The 27,818-nt window shown below is 42.7% G+C and overlaps 1 protein-coding gene across 7 annotated transcripts in view, besides 2 other annotated features; it reads right to left on the reverse strand.

Annotated features, from left to right (window-relative positions):
* Positions 1 to 27,818, reverse strand: part of VTCN1 (V-set domain containing T cell activation inhibitor 1) — a 67,341-nt gene that overhangs the window by 12,202 nt on the left and 27,321 nt on the right. For 2 of the 7 annotated variants that reach the window (NM_024626.4, NM_001253849.2), the window contains exons 2-3: positions 14,319 to 14,383; positions 786 to 1,133 (exon numbers count right to left, since the gene is read on the reverse strand). In NM_024626.4, the coding sequence (NP_078902.2) occupies positions 786 to 1,133; positions 14,319 to 14,383 (413 nt within the window). Of the gene's footprint in view, positions 1 to 785; positions 1,224 to 14,318; positions 14,384 to 16,106; positions 16,385 to 24,631; positions 25,053 to 27,818 lie in introns of those variants that run through there. The other 5 variants (XM_017002335.3, XM_011542143.2, NR_045604.2 and 2 more) reach the window with 5 other exon arrangements.
* Positions 15,765 to 16,327: an enhancer, noted in NCBI's record as "H3K27ac-H3K4me1 hESC enhancer chr1:117714175-117714737 (GRCh37/hg19 assembly coordinates)". NCBI's record gives its function as "activates a minimal SCP1, AML or CMV promoter by ChIP-STARR-seq in naive H9 embryonic stem cells {active_cell/tissue: H9 hESC(naive)}" and the evidence as "EXISTENCE:reporter gene assay evidence [ECO:0000049][PMID:30033119]".
* Positions 16,328 to 16,889: an enhancer, noted in NCBI's record as "H3K27ac-H3K4me1 hESC enhancer chr1:117714738-117715299 (GRCh37/hg19 assembly coordinates)". NCBI's record gives its function as "activates a minimal SCP1, AML or CMV promoter by ChIP-STARR-seq in naive H9 embryonic stem cells {active_cell/tissue: H9 hESC(naive)}" and the evidence as "EXISTENCE:reporter gene assay evidence [ECO:0000049][PMID:30033119]".

Here is a 27,818-nt window from a genome sequence, read left to right on the forward strand (position 1 = left end):
CTCAAATGCCAGCTTCTCCAGGGGGCTTTCCCATCCCTTCCCTCCTATGCATTTGAACGGGATCTCTCTCTTCTTCTCAATCACTCCATTTATATTTCTCTTAAAGCATTTGATACACTTTACTAATTATTATCATTTACAGACTTTTATTATCTCTGTCCTGACCCCTAACTCTGTGAGATCTATATTATGAGCTCTGTAAGGGTAGGGGAAATCTGTTTAATCATCTTTATACTCTCACAGTACCTGAGTCCCTTGTATATAAATTCAGAAAACATATGTTAAATTGGGTTGGCAACAAAGGGTGGATTTCATTGTTGCAGGGGAAGGGGAATTAATGAGTTTATAGGACAATGTTGTTTTCGTTTTGGTTAGTTCCCTTTGAACTTCTAAAATGCACTCACTGTCATGAGTCTCTGAAGATACTGATTTCAGGATTGCGCTTGGGTCTACTTAGCGTGGAAATGTCCCAGGCTAGGCTGCTCTTATTAGCTGTACCAGGGGCTACCACAAAAGAGGCTACATTTATTTTGTTGAATAGAGAACACACCTGGAAATTCTGAAGCAGAGAGAACCCAGAACAAAAGATTTTTAAGGCCTCTCTTATAGTTGGCTACTTTTGGGGTTGGTGTGAGTCTTGGCCATAAAATGGCAAAAACAGCTGTTAGCAGAATTGGGAGCATCATTGTCTGATATTGGTCACAACATATTTCATAAGCAACTCATAATCTTTAGCCTCAAATACTTTTGGTGCTTTAAAAAATCTCTCTCCAAAAGTAACTCACCTCCAGTTTTATACTCAAGGTTAGCATTCCCCTTGCCTTTAGAAGTGATGATATAACATTTGTAGGTGCCAGCATCTGTGAGTTGCACGTTTTTCAGCCGCAAAGAGGCATTGCCAACTATCACTTGATCAGCAAACACTGCTGTCCGGCCTCTGAACATTTCATCCTGCTCCGACAGCTCATCTTTGCCTTCTTTGAACTCATGGACCAAGCCTAAAACACCTTCCTTCAGCCATTGTATCACGATATCAGAAAGTTTGATGTCAGGTTCAAAAGTGCAGCTCAGGATTCCATCCTCCCCAATGTTCCCAGCTGAGGCGACAGTAGTGACTGTGATGGAGTGTCTCCCTGCAGTTCAGGAAGCAAAGATCAATGCTAAGGGAAGCCTTGGAACTTCTACAACCAAACCCTTCATTGCTGAAAGCCAGACAGAGACTTCTGTGATAAATTAAAAATACAGAAGAACATGAGAGGCAATAAGAAGACAAGAAGAGAAAGAGCAGGAAGACAATCATTTTGATATATATATATATATATATATAGCAGATCTGTCATATATAATGGCTTATGTAAGACCAAGTAACCCAAACCTTGAGAACACATTGGACTTGGGGTTTGAAGATGAAAATTCAAGTCTTGGCTTTGTCACTTAATAGCCATGTAACCTTCAGTAAGTCATGTAACCTCCTTGGATCTTAGAAAATTGGAGGTAACAATGTCTGTCTTACCTACTATATTAGTCCATTTTCATGCTGCTGATAAAGACACACCTGAGACTGGAAAGAAAAAGAGGTTTAATTGGACTTACAGTTCCACATGGCTGGGGAGGCCTCAGAATCATGGAGGGAGGCAAAAGGCACTTCTTACATGGTGGTGGCAAGAGAAAAATGAGAAAGATGCAAAAGCAGAAACCCCTGATAAACCCACCAGATCTCATTAGACTTACTCACTACCACAAGAACAGTATAGGGAAACTGCCCCCATGATTCAAATGATCTCCCACTGGGTCCCTCCCACAACACATGGGAATTATGAGAGTATAATTCAAGATGAGATTTGGGTGGGGACACAGCCAAACCATATCATTCCATCCCTGGCCCCTCCAAATCTCACGTTCTCACATTTCAAAACCAATCATGCCTTCCCAACAGTCCCCCAAAGTCTTAATTCATTTCAGCATTAACTCAAAAGTCCACAGTCCAAAGTCACATCTGAGGCAAGGCAAGTCCCTTTCACCTATAATCCTGTAAAATCAAAATCAAGCTAGTTACTTCCTAGATACAATGGGGGTACAGGTATTGGGTAAATACAGTCATTCCAAATGGGAGAAATTGGCCAAAACAAAGTAGTTACAGGGCCTATGCAAGTCCAAAATTTTAAAGCTCCAAATGATCTCCTTTGACTCCAGGTCTCACATCCAGGTCATGCTGATGCAAGAGGTGGGTTTCCATGGTCTTGGGCAGCTCCACCCCTGTGGCTTTGCAGGGTGCAGCCTCCCTCCCAGCTGCTTTCATAGGCTGGCATTGAGTGTCTGTTGCTTTTCCAGAAGAACAGTGCAAGCTGTCAGTGGATCTACCATTCTGTGGTCTGGAGGACAGTGGCTGTTTTCTCACAGCTCCACTAAGTGGTGCACCAGGGGGACTTTGTGTTGGGGCTCCGACTCCATATTTTCCTTCTGCACTGCCCTAGCAGAAGTTCTCCATGAGAGCCCCACTCCTGCAGCAATCTTCTGCCTGGGCATCCAGGCATTTCCAGACATCTTCTGAAATCTAGGTGGAGGTTCGCAAACCCCAATTCTTGACTTCTGTGCACTCACAGGCTCAACACCACATAGAAGCTGCCGAGACTTGGGGTTTGCACCCTCTGAAGCCATGGCCCAAGACCCTTTTGGGCACAGCTGGAGCAGCTGGGATACAGGAAACCAAGTCCCTAGGCTGCACACAGCATGGGGACCCTGGGCCCGGCCCACAAAACTATTTTCTCCTAGGACCCCAGGCCTGTGATGGGAGGGGCAGCCATGAAGACCTCTGACATACCCTGCAGACATTTTCCCCATTGTCTTAGGGATTAACATTCAGCTCCTCATTACTTATGCAAATTTCTGCAGCCAGCTTGAATTTCTCCTCAGAAAATGGGTTTTTCTTTTCTTTCACATTGTCAGGCTGCAAATTTTCCAAACTTTTATGCTCTGCTTCCCTTATAAAACTGAATACCTTTAACAGCACCGAAGTTACCTCTTGAATGCTTTGCTGCTTAGAAATTTCTTCCACCAGATACCCCAAATCATCTCTCTCAAGTTCAAAGTTCCACAAATCTCGAGGGCAGGGGCAAAACATCATCAGTCTCTTTGTTAAAACATAACAAGAGTCACCTTTACTCCAGTTCTCAGCAGGTTCCTCATCTCCATCTGAGACCACTTCAGTCTGGACCTTATTGTCCATATCACTATAAGGCTTTTGGTCAAAGCCATTCAACAAGTCTCTAGGAAGTTTCAAAATTTCCCACATTTTCCTGTCTTCTTCTGAGCTCTCCAAACTGTTCCAACCTCTGCCTGTTACCCAGTTCCAAAGTTGCTTCCACATTTTTGGGTATCTTTTCAGCAGTGCCCCACTCTACTGGTACCAATTTACTGTATTAGTCCATTTTCACAGTGCTGATAAAGAAATACCCGAGACTTGGAAGAAAAAGAGGTTTAATTGAACTTAACAGTTTCACATGGCTGGGGAGGCCTCAGAGTCATGGCGGGAGGTGAAAGGCACTTCTTACATGGCAGTGGCAAGAGAAAATGAGAAAGATGCAAAAGCAGAAACCCCTGATAAAACCATAAGATCTTGTGAGACTTATTTACTACCATGAGAACAGTATGGGGGGAACCACCCCCATGATTCAAATGATCTCCCACCAGGTCCCTCCCACAACACATGGGAATTATGGGAGTATAATTTAAGATGAGATTTGGGTGGGGACACAGAGCCAAACTATATCACCTACTTTAAAGGTTTCTTGTGAGGATCAAATCAAATGGATATTAACCTGATTTGCAAACTGTAATTACACATATAAGGTATTGTTATTCTCAGTTAACCAGAAGTAGCACAGAAGTGAAATCTCATGTTAACTAAATGTGGCCTAGTCATTCTGAAAAATGCTGAATTCTAAAGTGCTGTAACTTTTATTTCTGTTTGAATGACATAGAAACTAAGGCAGTGAGAAAATAACTGATTTGATCAAGTTTACAGTGCTAGCTATAGCATAATGAAGAACTGTATTTAATTCAGTTGATTTTTGGTTTAAAATGAAAGCCACCCTCTCCTCTACTGACATACCACCAGTAGAAATATTAATTATGTGCCAGCTGTATCCAACTGCTTCCTCCTCACTTGGCCAGCCTACAGCCTACCCAGTCAAGGAAGGATCAATCAGCTGTTCATTGTACACTGGGGGCTGCTGACTGAGGACACCTATTGGGGTGATTTAATTAACTGAATCTTCTTGAGAGGCTCTTTCTGTGGCTTGGATATGAAACTAAGGGCAGATGGCCTTGGAGCCCAAGAGGAGAGTGGAGGAGACACAAAGAAGTATGGGGGAGAGACCATGGGAGAGAAAAATGGAAAGAGTCTTTCATCCCCAGAGCTGTCTTGGATCCTGGGGTGTTCAGGTCTAGTTCCTGTCCTAATCTCTGCACATCCTTTAAACAACACCTGATATTAAAGTGGCCTGCACAAGTCTCTCTTTCTTACAGCCAAAAAAGCCCAACATAACGGGTCCTGAGCACTTCCTAACTGGACTTATCAGCTTCTTTATTGGTATTTCTACCTTTCATCTTCGCCTCCATCCAATCCATTTTACATGCATTAATCCTACAGGTAGACCTTCTTACAGTACAATTTGAACATATCTGTTTTCTAATCACTCATCTTTAATGGTTCCTAAGAGCTGTGGAATGGATTTCAGATTTTCCAGCCTGGACTTCAAAGCTAAACACTGCCTGCTACATAGTAAATGCTCCATACATATTAGCCCTTATTGCTGTCTTTGCAGCCTTCTCTCCAACTACATCCTTTCATAGTCCATTCTGTCTGTCTGTATCAAATTATTTGTTGATTTTCTGCCTTAAATAAAAAACATACAAACAAAGCAGACGTGTTTGTTGTTGTTGTTGTTGTTGTTTTAATGTGAGAGGTAAACATTATCAACATAAGGATATCCTTGGCTCTTCTCCTCTTCCAGCCTATTAGGGGTTGGAATTATCTCATTGACTCCTAGACCTCTACAAAGTAAATGAGGGTAATGAATGAGGAAGAGAACTGGAGAAGCTAATCTAGATGGATTTGCAGCAGAAAGAACAGAAGGCTACTGATGGAAGAAAAATTATAGCTAGAAAAGGAGGAAGAGGAGACAAAAACAAGTACATAGCCTGGTTTGGAAGGATGTTTTGGAGGCTTGAGAGCGTGAGAAAAGACACTTTGGAAGCAGCTGCCATGCATGGCCATTCCTGTGGGAGATCTGGGAGACGAATTATGAAAGAGGACAAAATGAAGTTTTTGCTGTGTAATAAGAACACAACACACCTCCATTCCCTGCATTGGTATTTTCTTGAACATTGATTTAAAGATTCAGTTTGCTTTGCAAGTATTGTTACTTAGAGAATGATATCCAAGGCATCCCAGGCTAGCATGGGTTACACAATTACACTATGCGCCTTCACACTGCTGTTCATCTTGTACCTATTAATTCATAGCTCACACTTCTTTAACACCAGTTATGCAAATTCTACTTATATTCAAAGTCCGTTCAGATGGCAGCCCTCCCATGAAATCCTCTTTTAATTCACCAAAGGAAAAATTAGTAGATTCTCTCTTTACTTTCCTGTAACTTTTTGTCTTTTTGGCCTTTATTATAGCAGCTGTCTCCCTCTACCTGGTCTCTAATCTATCTCTGGAACTAGTTTGTGAGCTTTTCAAGAGCAGAAACTGTCTTAATCCTATCTGTAAGTCCTGTAGTGCCTAGAGCTATGTTTCTGCAGAGAAAAATAATGTTTGCTGAGTTTATGAATAAATGAATAAATAAATGGAAATCAGTAGAAATCAAAGCATTGTTTGAGATAGGCTAAAATTATTGTAGGAGTAAGGGACGTTTGGCAGGATTACCACATCTAAACTTTGGGGAAATGTGATCCAATGAAAAGGAAGGCAATAAAAATACTGAGAGGTTCACAATAAAATCATGAATCAAATACAACTATGTTACAGCAAAGGTAAATTTGATGGTTGTTGATAAAGTGCCATTAAAGTTGAATTGAAAGATTACTTCTCAGAAAAAATACATGATTAGCACAGTTTATGGAGAGAATGAAATGGTAATGACATACCTTAGTTCAGCAACTGTATTACTGAATTAATTTTAATATGTTGGCCTTGAGCTCACAGTTAGGGAATCCGTTGAAATATCTCCCAGAGAAGTTAATGATTAAAAGTAGGCAGCTGTGGAATGCCCTAGGGACCTGCTGCAGGTTCTAGTCATTTAAGGTTGCATTAATGATGTGGCAGATGGAATGAGTGTAATGTTGATTAAATCCCCTCCACCCCAATGTCAAATAAAGAAGAGAAATAAGAGCCAGTGAGAACTTAAAAAAACCACAGGGACCTAGCCATTGCTTTGCACCCAGAAAGCAGTCAATAAAATACTTGTTTGTTAAGTGAATAAATGATTGTTAAAAGTGACAAAATTTAATTTGCAAGCAACCACATGTAAATATTACTTCTCACAAGAAAAGAAACTATTCAGACTTGCAAACAAACATAGGCTCAAGGAGGATTATGCCATCTGGCCTCCTATGACTCTCCAGGCCTACTGACCACCAGAGATTCTTTTTTTTTTATTTTTTGGAGACAGAGACTCACTCCACCAGAGATTCTTGTGTGACTTGTTGAGTCAAAGGACAAAAGGACCCCATGGAGATGGGCTAGAGGCAGGTACCTATTGATAGAGAATTCTATTAAATGGGCACAGATTTTAAGCATTTCATTTACCTCTAAGATTTCATTAAACCCCTTTAAAATTGGAAGACTGAGCCACTTACTGAAAATTAATTATCCAGCTTGTGAGGGCTAATTAACTACCACAGCTCCTGTCTGCATGAGGAAAGTGGGGCTGTTAAAGCAGGGGCAAGACGAAACCTGAGCAGCTCTGGGTTCACACAGTGGGAGTACTATTCAATCAGCGCTCCGTTGTAGGAGTAGGAATATCTTGAAGTGGGGGTATAGGTAACACAAGACAAGGATTCTTTACAGAAACTATGATGCTGGGGCAGCCCACAGCGCTGGATAAAACCTGGAAAATGAGCTGTCCTTTGAAATGACTCAGAAAGACAGGTTCGTACATTCCAGTAGCATAGAGAGCATGCTAGATGTCTTCAGCAGATGGTCACCAGCATCTGCTAAAACTCAGCTGTCCAGATGGGCACCACAGTACATGGCTTACAAGGTCGAAATGCAAAGCTTAACCTTGGGGTCAAACCTGTGAGTGTCACTCTTGCCAAAGAAGACGGTGGGGTGGGGAGAACAGTTGCTTCCGTGAGAAGAAATTTAAAAGGACACTGGGCAAGGCCAGATACGGGAACAATGTAGGAAAGCAGCAGAACATGGTGTTTGAGAACATGGCACAGGTACAGGCTGCCTGGGTTGAAGTCCCAGCTCTGCCACTTATTGGATATGTGACCTTGGTCAAGTTTTCTAACCCTTTATTTCACCATTTTTTAAAATCTGTAAAATGGGGATGCTCCCTTAGAGGGTTCCTGAAAGGACTTAATGATACAATGCAGGTAAAGTGCTAAATATTGTACCTGAATTGCCACATGCTAAACCTTAAATCAGTATTGATATTAATAACCATTATTAACTACAATCATTTGGAAAGATTGCAGATCAGAGCCCCAGGAGGTAAGGAAAACAACATTTCACTAAATGTTTGCTTACAGAGACTCATTTTAAGCCATGAGAGAGTAAGAATGACCATTATACCCATTTATGGATGAGGATAGAGACTCCATGAGGTTAAATGGCTTGCCGAATGCCTTGGATCTAGCTGTTAGTAGAGTCAGGGTCAAACACAACCTGGTCTGGCCCTGAGCCTATGCCCTTTCTACCATATTTTGCTGATACCCAGGGCCAGATTGAGACATGTAGAGTGCCAACCCAATAAGAAGATATCCCTACTTCACTTAAAAATCAAAACAACTAAAAACCACAAAATAAGTGTAAGAAAGGCCCACAGCTGTTTATTTTCTCAGATGACTCGAAGGTTTTTTTGGACAGATCAAATATTTTCTAAATAAACTGTGCAATGTTTCCATTTTGGTGTTATCAGCACACACCTAGTCGGTTTATCCAATGTCTGAAGCTGGAGCATTACTGTAGTGTGATAGGTCACTCACCAGGTTATTTAGGGGTGTATGTCTGCTGCTTGAACCCCAACAGCTGGGTGGTAAGCCAAGGCCTTGGTGCCCAGCTGAGGAGCAGATGTCCCTGAGAACCTAAACATCCCAGAGAGTATCTGAGAACACACCAAGAAAAACAGTCTCATTGCAAACACACAGCAGGCAAAGAGCCAGAAAACCAGCTTAAAAGCAGCTTAGATATGGGAGATGGCACAGATCTCTAGGGCTGTCTTGCTGCCACCCAGGAGTGCCCTGTATGTAAGTCCTAATAAACTCATTTACTCACCAAACTGGACTTGTCTAAGTCATTCTTTGGTCTTTCAACAGCTTCCCAGTTCTGGCAGGGGGGTGGGGTTGCGGGGGCGATACGGGACACATGTTACAGTTCCAGGTTTTGTTTGTAACAATTATTAGGAGGCAGCATCCTGTGGCTTCAAAGGAGGCCTTTCCTGGTTGACCAGGAAATTGTGCAGTTCCTAGGAGGTGCTATATGAATGCGTTAATAATAGCAGATTTTTACTAAAAGCATTGATGGCATCAATATAAATAACAATGGCAGCTGTTTATCACACACAGGTGTGTGAGTGGACTCTCCTTTAATTCTCACAATGACCCTGCCTATTTTACCAATGAGGAAACATTTAAGTTGTATCCCAAAGGATATACAGTTAGTGTGAGCGCTGAGATTGGAATGGCTCTGATTCTGAGATTCTTCCATTATACAGAGCTGTTCAAAGTCAGAGGGTGCGTGATAGCGCAGGGACTGGGCTGGGTATGGTTAGGGGCCTTTCCATCACGTCTCCTTCCTTCTCGAAGGCTTATCCACAAGGGTTGTCCTTTAACCAGGGGCTGATTGGAACCCCTCAACCTCTCTTTCAAATGGTCCACCGCAAATGCATTTTATGTTTTCTGGGGTTTTTATTTAGAATTTGTAAGGAGGAGGATGGCTATGAGAAGGTGGCATATACAGCATCAGGAGAGTTACAAAGAAATAGAATTTCTTTCTGTATTGGGGAAAAGTTTTATGTTTTCAAAAGCTGTGGTCTCAGGAATCATGCCTGCAAGGCAAACCATAAAACACCCTTCTCCACTACAACTCTGTGTGAACGTTGTCATTGGTATGGGGTGATGGGTAGGAGTGTAGGTTCGGGAAACAAATTCCCAAGGCTTGAAATACAGCCATGCTCACTTGCTGACTGTTGTGTGTCCTTCCACACATTTCTCATCTCATCATAGTAATAACATCTACCTCCTATTTGTTGTGTGTAGTAAGGCAAATCATGCATGCAAAGTTATTTAGTACAGTGAAGTGCATGAAGAAAGGATTCAAAAGATATCATCATGATAAAGTTTAGATATTTGTCTTCACCCAAATCTCATGTTGAAATATAATCCCCAATTATATTATATTGGAGGAGGTGCCTGGTGGGAGGTGTGTGGGTCATTGGGGCAGATCCCTTATAAATGGCTTGGGTCATCCCCTTGGTGATAAGTGAGCTCTCAGGCCCTGAGTTCACATGAGATCTGGTCGTTTAAACTTATGTGGCACCTCCCCACCACTCTCTCTCCCTCTTGCTCCTGCTTTCGACATATGACATGACTGTTTCCCCTCGCCGTCCATCATGACTGAAAGCTCCCTGAGGCTTCACCAGAAGCCAGGCAGATTCCAGCACCATGCTTCCTGTAAAGCCTGCAGAATCGTGAGCCAATTAAACTTCTTTTCTTTATAAATTACCCAGTCTCAGGAATTTCTTTATAGCAGTGCAAGAACGGCCTAATACATATCATCATCTGCTTAACGCTATTTGCTTAATTTCAATGTCTTATATATTAAACCAGCTAATATTTTATTGAATTCATTTAAAATGTGATAATACGATCTCTGATAAAGGTTATAGTCCTTTTAATAGAGGCAATTGAAAAAATCCAACTAAACAGTATTAAACTAACAAACTGCCCATTTTATCCAAATAACCAGCTGTCACCCTGTGAAATGGGAAGGAGGCAGAACACCTTTTTATTGGCAGTAGTAGAGTTTTAAATTTTTGATGGTACATTACTGGATTGAGCAGACTGTTACTTCCATCTATTCACACCTCCATGCATCCATCCAACTGTCCATTCAAAAAGCACTTACGGAGCACCCTGTGCATTCAAGGAGCTGAGTACAGTTCTTGAGGTGGCTGTCGCTATGCAACAGGAAAAGATATAAGTAGCAAACCTCCTGACTAACACAGGGAAGTTATGATATTGTGAAAATTCTTGCTAGGAGAGTCAACACCACTAACAACCAAAAGATAAACAACTCTCTTAAGAGTTCTGATGCAAAGCCAGTGAGCCTTAGGTCCAAGAAAGTTTAGTCATCAAGATTTAGAGTGACAAATAAATACTAGGGTTTTAGTTGAAGGTGATGTATAAGATCAGGAATAGGGTAAATTATAATTAACAGTTAAGCCTTAGTGGCCTGGCGCGGTGGCTCACACCTGTAATCCCAGCACTTTGGAAGGCCGAGGCGGGTGGATCACAAGGTCAGGAGATCTAGACCATCCTGGCTACACATGGTGAAACCCTGTCCCTACTAAAAATACAAAAAAATTAGCCAGGTGTGGTGGTGCGCGCCTGTAATCCCAGCTACTCTGTCTCAAAAAAAAAAAAAAAGAAAGAAAAAGAAAAAAAGAGTTAAGCCTTAGTGAGGAAGGTACCAAAATGTACTTTAGCATTACTATCTTTAAAAGTTATTCCAAAATATTTGGTTTATCAGTCTATATTTTATTTCCTTATAAAGAATATATATGTAAATCAGAGAGCAGTGGCTCACACCTGTAATCCCAGCACTGTGGGAGGTCGAGGTGGGTGGATCACTTGAGGTCAGGAGTTCGAGACCAGTCTGGCTAACAGGGCAAAATCCCATCTCTACTAAAAGTACAAAAAATTAGCCAGGTGTGGTGGTGCACGTCTGTAATCCCAGCTACTCAGGAGACTGAGGCAGAAGAATAACCTGAAGCTGGGAGGCAGAGGCTGCAGTGAGCCGAGATTATGCCACTGTACTCCAGCCTGAGCGACAGAGCAAGACTGTCTCAAAAAAAAAAAAAAGAATATATATGTATGTAAACATAAAATGTATATATACATACATGACATTATATGCATTTTATGTTTTTATATATACATTTACAAATGTTTTTGTATGTCTGTACTGAAGTATACAAACATAAAAATCCACACATCATAACTGTACAGCTTGAAGAATGATTATAACTTTATTCCATGTAACCATCATCACACCAAGAAATAGAACCTTACTGCCCTCCCAGCAGTGCCCTCATGCCCCTCCTCACTGCTACCTGCTTACTTGTCCCCAAAGGTAATAAGAACCATTATTCTACCTTTGACCAGCAGAGATCCATTTGCCTGTTTTTGAACTTCATATGCATAGAATCATACAGAACTTACTCTTTTGTGCTCTTCTGTAGTTCCACATTATGTTTTGCATATGAAAATGTACTCAGTCTCTGTCACCAGGAAACAGAAATTAAAACCACAAAATTCCACAACACCCAGTATTGGTGAGGGTGTGGAGAGCTTGATCTCTCATGCATTGCTGGTGAAGAGTAGATTGACTCATCACTTTGGAAAATTGAATGGCAGTATCTACTAAAAGCTATTTATTGGCCTTTTGGACATACTCCTTGTGAGCTGCTTTTTTAAGCACTCACACTCCTTGTGAGCTGCTTTATTTTGAGACAGTAGAAAAAGAATTGAAAGATGGCCAAGTAAAGCAGGAAGAGGAATATTAATAAAGATAAAAGCCAAAATTAGTAAAATAGGAATACAGATCAGAGAAAATATAAATAAGCTAAAAGCTGGTTCTTTCAAAACTACTATAAAGCTAACAATACCTTATAAATCTATTTTAGTATATGAGAGAGAGAGAAAGAGAGAGCAGAAGAAAGAAAAAGAGAAAGAGAGAAGACTAGAGAGAAAGAAAGAGAGAAAAAAAACCGAAATTATGAACAGGAAAAGAAATAAATTAACATAGGAAATCAATATTAGAACGAAACAGGCTAGTGAATTCAGAAACAGATCAGAAACAGAAACATAGGAAATCAATATTACAATGAAACAGGCTAGTGATTTCAGAAACTTGGTTGAGAGAAAACAACCAAGATTATGAACAGGAAAAGAAATAAATTAACATAGGAAATTAGTATTAGAATGAAACAGGCTAGTGAATTCAGAAACAGATCCCCACACATTTGGATACGTGATTTACGACCATGACGGTACTGAAGGGAAGTGGGGGAAGGACAGTGTGTTCAGTAGTGGTGCTGGGTTTATTGGATACCATAAGGAAAAAATGAATCTTGACCCCTCTCTTGTACTACATATAAAATTAACTTGAGATGGTTTGCAGATATAAATGTGAAAGACAAAACAATAAAGCTTCTACAAGATAATCTAGAAGAACATCTTCACGACCTTGGAATAGGCAAAGATTTCTTAAACAGGTTACAAAAAGCTCCAAGTATAAAGAAAAGGATCAATAAAAATTAAAATTAAGAACTTCTGCTCATTGAAAAACATCATTAAGAGAGTAAAAAAGCAAAGTGTAGAGTAGAAGAGATTTGGTGATACCTGTAACTAGTTTGCATCCATGATAAAGAAGGAATTACCTACAAATCAAAAAGAGAAAGACAAATACCCCAATAGAAAAAAATGAATGGAAGATAAAATACACATGTTATTTACTTTTTTTATTTTTAATGTAGAGACAGGGTCTCTTTTTGTTGCCCAGGTTGGTCTTGAACCCTGGCCTTAAGCAGTACTCCCACCTCAGCCTCCCATAGTGCTGGGATTATAGGCGTGAACCACCACAACTGGCCTAAAAAATATATGATTGATGACAAAGAAAGTGGGGAAGGGATGAATGTCTTTTCTAGCAAACACAACTCTAGCAAGTTTTCTTAGCTTCGACTTTGTGACAGTATTGAGTGCCAGCATGTCTACACTGGAGAAGCATGGCAGAAAGGCCACTGGAATATAGAAAATAAAGTTACGGAGCTTTGGTCACAGACTGAGTTAAAATGAATGTGTTGGACTGAGTCAGGTGGTTTATGAAAAAAAGAGCAGACAATTTGCCTCAGAGAAGAAAACTGCCAGCCTTAACTCATTCAGTGTCAAAATTAAAGCAGCATCCATAAAAGATGCTTCAGAGCAGTGGCCTATGCAGAAGAGGAAAGTGAAGAGACTCTTCTGCAACTGACATTGGCTAGATACGTTCAGAAACTAACCATCTGTGCTACAGCGGTATCTGTTTCCTACATGGTACAGTAGTCATGACCAGTTGTCTCTTTACCTAAGACCCCTGTGTACAAAGACTTGATATTCTTTAACACTTCAGCTGAAGCTTCGTTGCAAAGAAATCATCTACCCAGGCCAACCGCTGACAGAATGGCTCAGAGGCAGCACTTCACCTATGATCCCAGAATGACATCTTCAGCACTGACTGATAGATAGACTACTGATAAACATCTCATTTGATTATCTCAACTAACTGGTGATGTTGACAGTATCTCCCCACTCAAAAATGAGGAAACTAGCCTGGGCACGGTGGCTCAGGCCGGCAATCCCAGCACTTTGGGAGGCCGAGGCAGGTGGATTGCTTGAGCTCAGGAGTTTGAGACCAGCCTGAGCAACATGGTGAAACCCCATCTCTACTAAAAATAAAAAAATTAGCCTGGCATGGTGGTGCACATGCCTGTAGTCCTAGCTACTTGGGAGGCTGAGGTGAGAGGATGGCTTGAACCCAGGAGGTGGAGGTTGCAGTAAGCTGAGATCATGCCACTGCACTCCAACCTGGGCAACAGAGCCAGACCCTGTCTCAAAATAAATAAATAAATAATAAAAAATGAGGACACTGAAGTCGAGGACTTAACTGACTAATGTAGAGAAAGCACAAGAAGTAGAAGAATGAATGCTATACTCTGAGGTTTTCTGGGTCAAAGCTCTGGGCTCTTTCCATGCTAACGCACTGAGTGATTAGGAGTTTAATGGTGAGGGGTGAATAGATTGTAGTAATGCAAGAAATCACATACCTGAAATACCAAAGCCAATGATGAGTGCAATTGCTCCAGCCAGAATAATGATGATGCTAATTATGCTACGGGAAGAGAGAGAGAAACAGAAAATTAGTTCTCCATTCCTCTTGATGTGCTGCTTTGCAACTGGGGTACAAATCTGTTGTGGATAAGATGAGTTACATAAAGCATCTCAACTTTTTCTTCCACATAAGCTTGTTCCTAGAAACGGGTACCTTAGAAAGGAATTTCAGCAATTCCATCCCCATCCCCCTGGGGCTCTGGGATCAATGAAAAGAGTGACCCTTGCCTCTGACTGTGCCATTTACTGTCCTATTTCCAGATCAGGGAAGACCATATATGGAGACTGTTGGGGCAAGAATGATGAAAACATTTCTTTAATGCCAGGTGCCACTTGAGAAGGACTGGTCCTGTTCCCAGCCTTCCCTGAGCATCACTGTCCACTCTCTTGTGTCATTTGTCTCCCTGTCTTATCTCCTTCCATAGACTTTAAACTCCATTAAGGACAATGGTCACATCTTCTTCACTTTGTACCCACTCACACCTCATCTACTGCACTCCGTAAGTCATCAGTGGGAGTCTGTTTTCTTTTATTAAAAAAACAAAAACAAAAACATATTTACTACAGAAAGTTTAGAAAATATAAACAAGCAAAAATGAGACAAATAAATCACCTGTAATCCCATCATCTAAATACAACCACTGTGTTTTGATATAATCCTCACCAATTATTTTTTATTTTATTTTACTTTAAGTTCTGGGATACATGTGCAGAACGTGCAGGTTCGTTACATAGGTACACATGTGTCATGGTGGTTTGCTGCACCTATCAACCCGTCATCTAGGTTTTAAGACCTGCATGCATTATTTGTCCTAATGCCCTCCCTCCCCTTGCCCCCAGCCCCCCTGACAGGCCCCAGTGTGTGATGTTCCCCTTCCTGTATCCATGTGTTCTCATTGTTCAACTCCCACTTATGAGTGAGAACATGTGGTGTTTGGTTTTCTGTTCCTGTGTTAGTTTGCTGAGAATGATGGTTTCCAGCTTCATCCATGTTCCTGCAAAGGACATGAACTCATTCTTTTTTATGGCTGCATAGTATTCTATGGTGTATACGTGCCACATTTTCTTTATCCAGCCTATCATTGATGGACATTTGGGTTGGTTCCAAGTCTTTGGTATTGTAAATAGTGCTGCAATAACCACATGTGTGCATGTATCTCTATAGTAGAATGATTTATAATCCTTTGGGTATATACCCAGTAATGGGATTGCTGGGTCAAATGGTACTTCTGGTTCTAGATCCTTAAGGAATCACCACACTGTCTTCCACAATGGTTGAACTAATTTACACTCCTACCAACAGCGTAAAAGCGTTCCTATTTCTCCACAGCCTCGCCTGCATGTGTTGTTTCCTGACTTTTTAATTATCAGCATTCTAACTGGTGGATCCTCACCAATTTTTAATGAACAGATTAACAAATGACACCCGGGAAACTAAATAAACAAATAAGGAAGTATTGCTTACATGTACTAAGTGCTAGAATTATATGGCAGACATGTTGTTCCAACCAAGCAGCATGTATAACTTATATCAATTATCCATTTAGTAACCTTAGGAGGAGAACAAATTTTATTGTCTCCATTTTATAGATGGGGAAGTGACACAGGGAGATTAAGCATCTTCCCTAAAGTCACACAGTTGGCAAGTGGCAGAGCAGAGATTAGAATTTGTCTCTTAAATCTGTACTCAACTCCCTCCAAGTGTACCAAGGGTAGGAGCTCACCGATGGGGCGTGTCCCTTTTCTTTGCCAAGGGGAACAAGCACTCCATGAGGGGTCACCTGCTTTAGCTCGTGAGAGTGACTCAGGCAGAGCAGAAGGCATAGGTCAAAGTGGTTCCTGGGAAGCTCGCCCGTTGCTGCCTGTCCTGGCGCATACATCATCGGTCAGACGTCCTCAGCCGCCCGCTCACACGGCTGCCAATTCACACGCTCCCAACACCCACGCTGATGTTACTCAATAGGCAGGACAAAAGAAAGGCACAGGGAGGCAAAGAACGATGCTATAGAGAGAAAAAAGAAACGCGGGGCTTTGCACTTTCTGCCCTGAATAGGCTCATTGTTCCCAGCCTCCTATGGCTCAGGAATGGGCCCACCAGACAGAAACAACAGTTCCCCTGCCGGCCAAGCCCTCATAAGGTGCAGCCACAAGGCAGCAAGCGAAGCTTTAAATAATAGGGCATCTGCTAAATTGATTCCAAGGGAGACCATATTTGGCCACTGCTCCTCTTTTCCCACACCTCAGTGTAGCCTCAGTTCTTACTGGTCCAAGAGAGTGAGAACAGCTAGATAAAGTCATAGCGAGAGGCACCATCTGCTGTCTTTGACTACTGACACAGGCAGCCGACTTGTGTGTGGCCTAGGGTTTTCATTTACTTTGGATAAAATACTTCATCGCTCTGAGGCTTATTTTTTTGTAAAATGGGAAACAGAGTAATTCCTGCTTTACCTATTATAAAGGCTGCATGTGTCCCCCCCCACATTCACATGTTGAAGTCCTAACCCCAAGTACCTCAGAGTGTGCCTTTACTTACTAATGGGGTCATTGTGAGAGGTGAAGCCAGCTGGACTTCCTAGGTCGAGTGGGGGACTTGGAAAACTTTTCTGTCTGAAGGATTGTAAATGCACCAATCAGCACTCTGTAAAAATGCACCAATCAGCACTCTGTATTTAGCTAAAGGATTGTAAACGCACGGATCAGCACTCTGTAAAATGGACCAATCAGCAGGATGTGGGTGAGGCCAAATAAGGGAATAAAAGCTGGGCACCCCAGACAGCAGCGGCAAACTCCTCCGGTCCCCTTCCATGCTGTGGAAGCTTTGTTCTTTCGCTCTTCACAGTAAATCTTGCTGCTGCTCCCTCTTTGGGTCTGCACTACCTTTATGAGCTGTAACACTTACCGTGAAGGACCGCAGCTTCATTCCTGAAGTCAGAGAGACCAGAACCCACAGGGAGGAGCAAACAACTCCGGAACAAACAACTCCGGACGCGCCACCTTTAAGAGCTGTAACACTCACCGCGAGGTCAGCGGCTTCATTCTTGAAGTCAGCAAGACCATGAACCCACCAGAAGGAATAAATTCCGGACACAATTGCAGATGTAGTTAGTTAAGGTCATACCAGAGTAGGGTAGTGGTTAATTCCTAATCCAATATGGCTGGTGTCCTTATAAAAAGGGGAAATTTGGACACAGATGAACACACACACACACACACACACACAACACCATGTAAAGATGAAAGCAGAGATCTACAACTCAAGGAACACCAAAGGTTGCCAGCAAAACTCCAGAATCTGGGAGAGAGATGCAATGGATTCTCTTTCACTGCTCTCACAGGTAACAAATCCTGCAGACATGTCCATCCTGGCCTCCAGCCTCTAGAGCTGAGAGATAATACATTTCCATTTCTAAGCCACCTGGTTTTCAGTACTTTGTTACAACAGCACTAGCAAACTAATACAAAAAGGTTGTTTCAGGATCAAATTAGATAATAAATGTGGCATTATTCAGAAAGGGCTATTCATACACTACTTTTTACTATAAATAAATTTTACTTATAAACTATTGCTGTAAGTTTATTATTAAAAGCTGTGACTTTTACGGGAGGGGACCTGAACAGCGACACTGAACAGATACCTGGGCCCTTGCCAAGAAGAGGGGGGACAATGGAAGTTGTGCATTTCGGCCAAAGCTCCTGAGCCCCTCCATCACACCAGGCCCACGTTTCCCTCGCTGTGAAAACAACCCTGCCATCTGTCACCAAATTCCCTATCAGGGCAGGAATCACCGTGAGGTTTGTTCTGAGCTAGTATTCCCTTGGGAAACAATTCAACTTCCAGAGCCTTGGAAAGAGAAGCAGGAACTACCAGAGCAGCTAAATTAATTCTTGCCTATTGCTTATTAATTTTTTAGAAAGATGAAAAAAATATTTCACTTCAGGGGTTCTTACATTGCTTTCTGATCTTTGCTTTCCCCTCAATGGTTTCCAATAACTATGCTGCAGGAAATTTTTAATGCAAAACTATGTCTTCTAACCACTGCATTGGGATTCACAGTGTACTTTTGGTACCCACTCATTACAAAAGGGCCCAAATAAAAATCAATGCTTTTGGAGGACTTGCTCATTCAGTAAACATTTATTAAGTACTTACTATGTGAAAGACATAGTGCTAGTCAATATGAAAGAAATGGAGAGATGATATAAACAAGGTCCCTGCCCTCAAGAAGCTTATAGTTAAACTGACGTGACATACACACAAACCTTTGTAATAATCTGAGGCAGAATGTGATCAGGGCTTTAGTAAAGAAATGAACAGGCCAGGCGCGGTGACTCACGGCTGTAATCCCAGCACTTTGGGAGGCCGAGGCGGGCGGATTACCTGAGGTCAGGAGTTCAAGACCAGCCCGGCCAACATGGTGAAACCCTGTCTCTACTAAAGATACAAAAATTAGCTGGGCGTGGTGGCAAGTGCCTGTAATCCCAGCTACTCGGGAGGCTGGGGCAGGAGAATTGCTTGAGCCCGGGAGGTGGAGATTACAATGAGCCAAGATCTAGGGAGGTAGGAAGAATTTAAACCCAGGGGAAACAGAGATAATCAAAGTGCATTTCCATGAACAAATTTCAAAGAAAGTGAAGAAAAAGGCTTTATTCAGAAATATATTGAGCTGATCCATGCTGTTACACACTCTCTGTCCAAGGCAGAAACACACAGAAAAGGTATTATTTCTGCTGCACTGGGGGTGCAGGGGGTCAGGATCTAAGCATTGCACTTTAGTGCTCTGGGCTGTGGGCTGGGAAGGTGCTTTCAGAGGCTGCAGAACCCAGAGCCTTCCAGGTGAAGGAGCAGCTTTGCAGCCTGGAATTCTGTCTCCATTCCTGAGGAGGGCCTGGTTCGATTCCCTCACATGCCTGCTTCAGCTGCTGCTGCCTTCTGCAGCATGTGAAAGAAATTGGGCCTTTGTTAAAACATATGCACATTCCTGAAAAGCCTCACATTCACAATAAAGGTAACAGGCCTTATGGGGGAAAATAGGCTTAAAGGCAGAGCGCTCGAAACCTATGCGACTTTGTAATTAGTCTACTAACAGAAACAATAACTAGTACCTCGGGAGATAACTTAGACAGACAAGGCAGGCACTCAGTAGGGCCAGAAACTACTTCAGGGGATATAAAAAATGCACAGATATAATAAAATAAACACTCCCGCTGCTGGGTGCTGTGAGCCGGCGTGGTCGCTGTGAAGCGGATGTGCAGCCTAGGACACGCAAGGGTAGGATGTACTTCTCTGGAGAGGGAGCCCCGTGTGCAGATGTTCATTCAAAAAAATTCTTTTTCATAAAATAAAAATAGAACTGAAAGCCATGCTAAGCTTTTCCCACTGAAGTTCTCATTCTATTCTGCTATTTCAACTCTCCTTGCTTTGAAAGAAAAGGCATGTGAACCAACACAACGTCCATGTTGTCCTGCCATCATTCCCGTTTTGCAACCACACATGAGCTCATTGATGCTATAGAAACATATACTGCAGCGGACAGGCTGTATTACTGTATCACACACCAAAAAATAAACCAGAAGAGAGATACCTATCTCTCTCTCTCTCTCTCTTTTTTTTTTTTTTTGAGATGGAGTTTCACTCTGTTGCCCAGGCTGGAGTGCACTGGCATGATCTCAGTTCACTGCAACCTCCGCCTCCCAGGTTCAAGCGATTCTCCCGTCTCAGCTTCCCGAGTAGCTGGGATTACAGGCACGTGCCACCACGCCCGGCTAATTTTTTATTTTTAGTAGAGACAGGGTTTCACCATGTTGGCCAGGCTGGTCTTGAACTCCTGACCTCAGGTGATCCACCTGCCTCGGCCTCCCAAAGTGCTGGGATTACAGGTGTGAGCCACCATGCCTGGCCAGAGACACCTATCTCTTAAACAACCTTTCATTTATCAGAGGTCCATGGCATGGCATAACAAGAGCCGATGCTTATCAGGCATAATGCCTCATTATATTGTTTCTCATTCAACCCTACAGCAACCCCATGAGGTAAGTACTACTCTCATTACCTTTTTACATGTGGGGAAACTGAGGCTTAGCTTAAGTAACAGATGAAGCTGTCACAGCTGGAAGGTGGGAATGTCAGGTCTCAATTTGAGGGTGTATGACTTACAGACTTGAGGTCTTAACTACATGCTATACTTCTAGAAAAAGTGGCAGGAGGCCTCATGTTTGGAAGGCTCCTGTCACCTCCTCGAGCACCTTTTCTAAAAACAAGAGCTTTCTGGATCTGCTACACAGTGTGGAAAGCTCAAAATGCTCAGTCTGGAAAACATAAAATGCTTTTTGTTTTATTCAAACATGAATGGTTTCTATGTTCTCGAGTTTCTGCCTCCTTCTCAAATACTAACAGAACTGGGAGATACCACATTCCTTATAGATCATTAGTTTAGCTCCACTCGTGTGATTGATAAATGTTTAAAACCCTGAAAACTAGATTAGTTTTGCAAATGTGTGATTTATTTGAATATACCAAGGAGGATATTTGAGTAAATCAAGTTGCAGCAAACATATTACATTGTTCACAAACCAACGAGGTGACTAGGTTTATAAAGAATGCTGAAATTAAAGACATTTACTTCAGCCTATCCAAAGAGGAGATTAAGGCTGAGTGTGGTGGCTCATGCTTGTAATCCCAGCACTTTGGGAGGCCCAGGAGGGCAGAGCACTTGAGGTCAGGAATTTGAGACCAGCCTGGCCAACATGGTGAAAGCCCGTCTCTACTAAAAATGCAAAAATTAGCCGAGCGTGGTGGTGTGCATGCGTAGTCCCAGCTACTCGGGAGGCTGAGGCAGGATAATCGTTTGAACCCAGGAGGCGAAGGCTGCTGTGAGCCGAGATCGTGCCATTGCACTCCAGCCTGGGCAACAGAGCAAGACTCCATTTCAAAAAAACCAAAAAAACAAAAAAGGAAAAAGAAGATTAAAAGCGGGAAAGGAAATTTCTTTATGGGGAAAAAGTATTTCCTATAAAGGGGAAAAGGAATTATTTTAAATGCTATGTGGAATAAAGCATTGGGCTTCAAGGTAAAACTAACCATTTCCTAGATATTGATTAGCATAGGTTTCAGGTTTCTGAGAAGCTTAGATTGTTGTCTACTCCAGTTTTTGCTTTGCTGAAGAATTCAAGGTGTAGAGTATGTTTCCTGGCCTCTACCCCTCTCCCTGTATCTCTTTATACTGGTAAAGTCAAGGCTGGCTTTGGTCCAGGAAACCGAGAGCAGAAGCATCAGGAATGGTGAGTGCAGGCTTGAGGAGAACTTTGCAATGAGGAGGAGTCATTATGTGGGGCTTGAGGGGTGTGTGTGGAAGAGACAGGACATCCTTTCTGGGCAGCCCCTGCTCCATCAACATGGCAGCAGATGGCCAGGCTTTGTATTTGGGAAAGGAATTTTGGGGAATTGCATATAAGAGACTTGGCTGCTGTTGAGTATCAGGTTGAAGCATCCTCTTTTCTTTCTAGCTACCCCCAAGAATCACAGCACAGTTTAGTGGATTCTTCCAAAGCACAGGACCCAGAATTAAATCATGACCTGGGTCCCAACACTGTAAAACTAGGGTAATATGGCTGGCAGAAAGATTTCATCTTGTATGCCAACAATCATTTGAATGACTGGTAGTGGTGGCTTAGAATATTGTGTTGAAAAAGACTGCAAGATTGCCTCTGTGCTCACAGGGAAGAGTGCCACCACTAATGAGTGTTTTCTTTTCTTTTTTTTTTTTTTTTTGGCGGGGTAGGTTGGGGGTGGCGACAGCCTCATTTTGTTGCCCATGCTGGAGTGCAGTGGTGCGATGGTGGGTCACTGCAGCCTTGGCCTCCCACACTCAAGCAATCCTTCCACCACACCTCCCCCAAGTAGCTGGGACTACAGGTGCACACCACCCAGCTAATTAAAAAACAAAAAATTTGTAGAGACAAGTTCTCACTATGTTGCCCAGGCTGGTCTCAAACTCCTAGCCTCAAGTGATCCTCCCATTTTGGTCTCCAAAAGTGTGGGGATTACAGGCACACCTGGCTGAGTGTTTTTGTTCTTTCTTTCTTTTTTTTCTTTTTTTTTTTTTTTGAGATGGAGTCTCTCTCTGTGACCCAGGCTGGAGTGCAGTGTCGTGATCTTGGCTCACTGCAACCTCCACCTCCTGAGTTCAAGCAATTCTCCTGCCTTAGCCTCCTGAGTAGCTGGGATTACAGGCATGTGCCACCATGCCTGGCTAATTTTTTGTATTTTTAGTAGAGATGGGATTTCACTATGTTGGCCAGTCTGGTCTCAAATTCCTGACCTCAAGTGATCCGCCCACCTCGGCCTCCCAAAGTGCTGGGATTGCAGGCGTGAGCCACTGCACCGCACCTGGCCTTCAGTGTTTTCTTTTCTTTCTTTCGTTTTTTTTTTTTTTTTTTTTTTAGAGACAGGGCCCGGCTCTATTCCCCTGACTGCAGTGCAGTTGCACAGTCATATCTCACTGTAGCCTTGAACTCCTAGGCTCAAGCAATCCTCTCGCTTTAGCCTCTTGAGTAGCTGGGACTACATACATGTGCCACGACGCTCAGCTAATTTTATTTCATGTAGAGACAGGGTTTCACTATGTGGCCCAAGCTGGTCTCAAACTCCTGGCATCAAGCAATCCTCCCACCTTGGCCTCTAGAGTATTAGGATTATAGGCATGAGCCACCACACCCAGCCTTATGAATGTTTTCTAAGTGAGCACGTGGGCCCTGTGTATTCCATCCCTGGGTTAGCAGAAACACATGAAAGGAGGCTTTAATTCACTGCTAGCTACAAAACCACGGGAATCTCAGGCTAATTTAATAGCAATGTAGTGGCGGTACAATAGCAATGTTAGCTGACACTCATCCATGCACATTTTTGGCCCACACTTTAAAAAGAACACTGATTAACATGCATACTTAGAACAGGGTTTCTCAAACTCCGTACTACGAACTATTTGTGCTAGATAATTCTTTGTTATTGGGGGTCATCCTGTGCACTGTAGCATGTTTAGCAGCATTCCTGGCCTGTAACTTCCAGATACCAGTACTGACACTACCCTTGCTGTGTCGACCAAAAATGTTTCCAGACGTGTCACCCCAGCTGAGAACCACTGATTTAGAAGAAGGGAAATCAGGGCGGTGATATGACTGGAAATCATGTTTTTTGAAAAATAGTTGAGGGAACTAGGGTGGTTTAATTTGAAGAAGACTAAATATAGTGATATCATTTCAGTATTTGAAAGGTGGTGTTTGGCCTGTTCTCCATCACTCTGGAGGAAGAAACAGAGGCACTGAGTGAAAGTTCTAGGAGATTAGATTTAGACTCAAAATACTTTGGAGAAACTTTCCAACAGAGCTCGCGGAGACTGGCCTGCAAATGCATGTGCAAGCAGGGCCTGGGTAAACACACAGGGGGTGGGAAAAGTTTCTAGTACCAGATAAAGCTTCAAACAATTTTGAAAGGCCCTTTCAAATAATTAGTTACATGATTCTGTAATTTGATATTCCCTGGGATTTGCTCTGGCCTTGGCTTTGTCTGCACATGCCTCCTAAAACCTTTGTTAATCATATAAGAATGATAGCTAATATTTATCTGAGTACACTGCCTCATCGATCTAATCTAATCCCTATGACGACCTACGGAGATAGATACTATTATCTTTGTTTTATAGATGAGGAAGCTGAGGCCTAATGTTAAGTAATTCCCCTGAGGACTCAGTCCTGGGAAATTAAAGAGAGCAGGATTAGACTCAGGTCTCAGATGCCATCATCGTTGGTCTTAACCATTATCCCATATTTTATATTAATCAAAAGACTTGTAAATCTTGGGATTCGAATCAGTGGCTAGGCTTGTGTTTGTACAGTTGTAACTGATGGAAGGACAGCACATACAATCTTACATAGATTGAAAAAAATTTCTCTCCCCCCCAGGAAGTGTCTTTCATTTGGGACTCTGGAAGGAAAACTGGAGGGGGCATGAGTATCAGGTGGAAAATTTCACACTGTTAACAAATAGACACCTTTCCTTAAACCGTATTTGAGTTTGCAGCAAAGCCATTCTATATTATTCTTAAGCCTGTCCTATTTATAGCATCACCCTGATTGCCATAAGCATGTATTAGCATTTCTTCATCATCCTTGTGCACACTATTTTTCACTGGTACAAGCAGAGCGAGACAAAAGGCAATGTAAGGTTGATTACCAGTCCTTTTCGTAATCATACCTGTGTTTCCTGCTCCTCCTTATTCTCACTGCAGAGAAAAAAACATTTCCACAAGATTCCTTCAGCAGCATAACTGATCCCATTGTACTGAATAACAAACACACTCCAAACCTTTCATGACCCTCCCACAAAGGGCCTGTACTGTTAGAAAAGCTGAGTATCCCATAAGCAGTCTCTGCCATGTGAACAAAAACAGCCTAATTGTCTGTCTTCCAAAGTGGAGGTTAAGAGAGATTGCAGGGGTGCTCACAGCACCTGGGTGGGATCTGGCTGCTAATGAACACTTCTTTTCATGGTTGGCTGTTGTCCTGGCTGCTGTCCATTCACCAACTCCTCCCCACCATAATCTTGGCATCCCCTTGCTCTCCCCGCCTCTCTCCACTTCTGCTCACCTCTCCTCCTCCAGCCCAGCCATAGATAAGGGCAGGAGCACTGCTCAGGGACAGCCTGATCATTTCTGGAATGGATGCAACAAAAAGAAGCTGCTGCTATTCCTCCCCTTATCCACTCTACAGAGAACCCGGCATTTCCTAATGGGGGCTCCACAGGAGCAGGAGACATGAACAGTTGGGCAACACTGCAATTCATCCTATACCTGCCTCCAGATTCAACACGACTTTTTCCACAGGGCTATCGTGAGGGTCCAAAGAAACAAACTCTTCCTTACAAAATGTAAATATTAGCTGTTATTTTAAAACTATAAATGTTAATTCTTGGCTAGGAGTGGTGGTTCATGCCTGTAGTCCTAACACTTTGGGAGGCCAAGGTGGGAGAATTGCTCGAGGCCAGGAGTTGGAAACTAGCCTGGGCAACATAGTGAGACCCTGTCTTTACAAAAAAAAAAAAAAAGTAAATGCTTATTTTTACTTTTCACTATTCCCAAATTTAAGTAACTCCTGATTGCTTATGAAAGTTCAAACTGTTCTTGACTGGTGGTCATGGAAAAGAAAAAGGAAAGTTGAAACTGATCCTAGAATTTAAGACCACCTTTAAATGCACCGAGCTATTTTTCTAACCCTTCTCCCTTTAGGAATCCCTGTATTCTCATCAGACTGTTCACTGCCCAGTTGCTCTCTGCTTAGAACACCCTTCCACCTCTTCCCAGGTAATGAGAAGCAGGCCCATCCAGAGCCTAGCTCAGCTCTGACCTGCCTCAGGCTCCTTCCTGAGGGCCAGCCCAGAACGTGCCCTCCCTTCTCTTTTTTAAATGGATTTAAGGGAGTGGGAAGGCAGGTGAACCTCAGGAGGCTGAACATGTGTGAAGACAAGAGGAGGAAGTGCTTGAGTGGCACTAAGGTTTGAGACAGGAGCTGGGAGGGGGAACTAGGCCCCAAAAGAGCTGAGAGGAAGAACAGGGCAGGCTCCCTGTGAGGGACGTGCATTTCAGCGAGGTCATCAGTCAGTGTGGTCATCAGTCAGCGTGGTCATCAGTCACCCTGGTCATCAGTCACCGTGATCTGGGCCTCAGGCAGATGGATGGCCTGACAGGGAGAGTGAGCTGTAATCTAGATTACCTTTGCAACACCCTAAAGCCACCGTGACTGTTTTGAATTTCATTCCTTTTCTTGCCTTCAGGAAACCTGTGCCTGTCACTGAAGAGATTCAGAGAAGCACTTGGGCTGGCTGCTTCTCGGAAAGCCTAGCCCTGGGATCAGTGCACTGTTTATTCATTAATAAAGCTGGAAACAAGTACGTCTATTGCCCTCAGAGCTTCTCTCTACGAAAGCCCATACACCTGTCTTAGGCAGTCTGATTTCTCTATGTACAATGTCATATTTGTACACTCCAAGTCTTCTGTCATCCACTATCTTTATTTTATAATGGCAGAAAGTCCTCCCAGTGAAAAGCAGACCACTGTATCCTAGAAGTAAGTAGAGGATGTATTGTTCAGTCTTCCAAAAGATCTACCAGGAGTTCCAATGCAAATCCTCGCCTGCTGGGACCTACATTCTCATATTTTAGACTGGGCCCCAGTTCTGTAGGTGTAGCTATGTAGAGCTTGTGAGAATTTAGGTATGAAAATCAGGCTGCCAGACCCACCCCTTGAGGGCCTGGCTTGCCTGAGCAATTTCCCGGCTGCAGCCCCTGCGGCTGCTCTGGTACCATAACAACCCTTGCCTGCCTATGTCAAGGGGCATTCTGAAACCCAAGGCAGGGAGACACTCCCTGTCCTAGGGTGGAGGCAACCTTATGTAGAACCCTTCTGTGGTCCTGACCATCTGTAGCAGACACAAAGGAAGCTTCCCAGGCCTTCCAGCCTGGAATCTGTAGTTTTCTTACTCCCTGGAGCTGCCTTCAACACAGGGCCTGCCTCGTGATTTCAGATTCTGTTACTTGGTCTTTTCTCTCTGGTCCAGCCTGACTTCCAGGGCACCAGTCTTAGTTTTCTTCTATAGATTTCAACATTCCCCTGGTAGAGACTCCCAACCTGATGCTATGTGCTGTGTCCTGTACCTACCCCACCTTTGGTTGCCATTCTGACCCACTGAAGCCCAGGGCCTGACACTGACCTGGAGATGGGCTACGGAGCTCTTATGAATCACAAGATGTCTGTTTTATTTTCTAAGCCTTCTATACATTCTGATACCATTTTTTAAAGAAAAAGAATAAGATTAAAATATAAAGTATTGATTTAAGCATAGAAAGCGAAGAAAGCATACTAAACCTGAAAGTTTGAATAAAAATATAAGCTCAAGAAGATTTTATATAAACCTGTGACTACTTTCTCCCATCTCCCGTCACCTCCACACTCCATCCATTCTAAACCACTCTGGGTCCCTGACTACGCCAGGCTGCTTCTTGCCTCCATGCCTTCGTTCCTATTATTTTTCAAGTTCTTGGAACATGCAAGGAACTTACCAAATGCTTGTTGAATAAATGCCCCACCTTACAGACTGCTTCCCTTGGAGCGTCTAGCACATAGTCTTTAAAATATGTTGAATTAATGAATAAATAAATATCCATGCTGTGCTACTGAGAGAAACTAACACATTCTTAACTTTTGAGAAACCATTTATGGGAGAAATGATCATTTATCTTTCTCTTTAAACAGTCTTTTAAAAAATTGTGGTATCAGAAATCTTGCTGATGCTATAAATTGTAACAAAATGCCTTGGAGGGTTGTACATGGAAGACCTGGTTGGCTGTGGCTAAGAAGGGGACCTAGAGATTCATAATAGCTGTGCTT

Source organism: Homo sapiens, chromosome 1, assembly GCF_000001405.40.
Source record: "Homo sapiens chromosome 1, GRCh38.p14 Primary Assembly".
Taxonomy (NCBI): domain Eukaryota; kingdom Metazoa; phylum Chordata; class Mammalia; order Primates; family Hominidae; genus Homo; species Homo sapiens.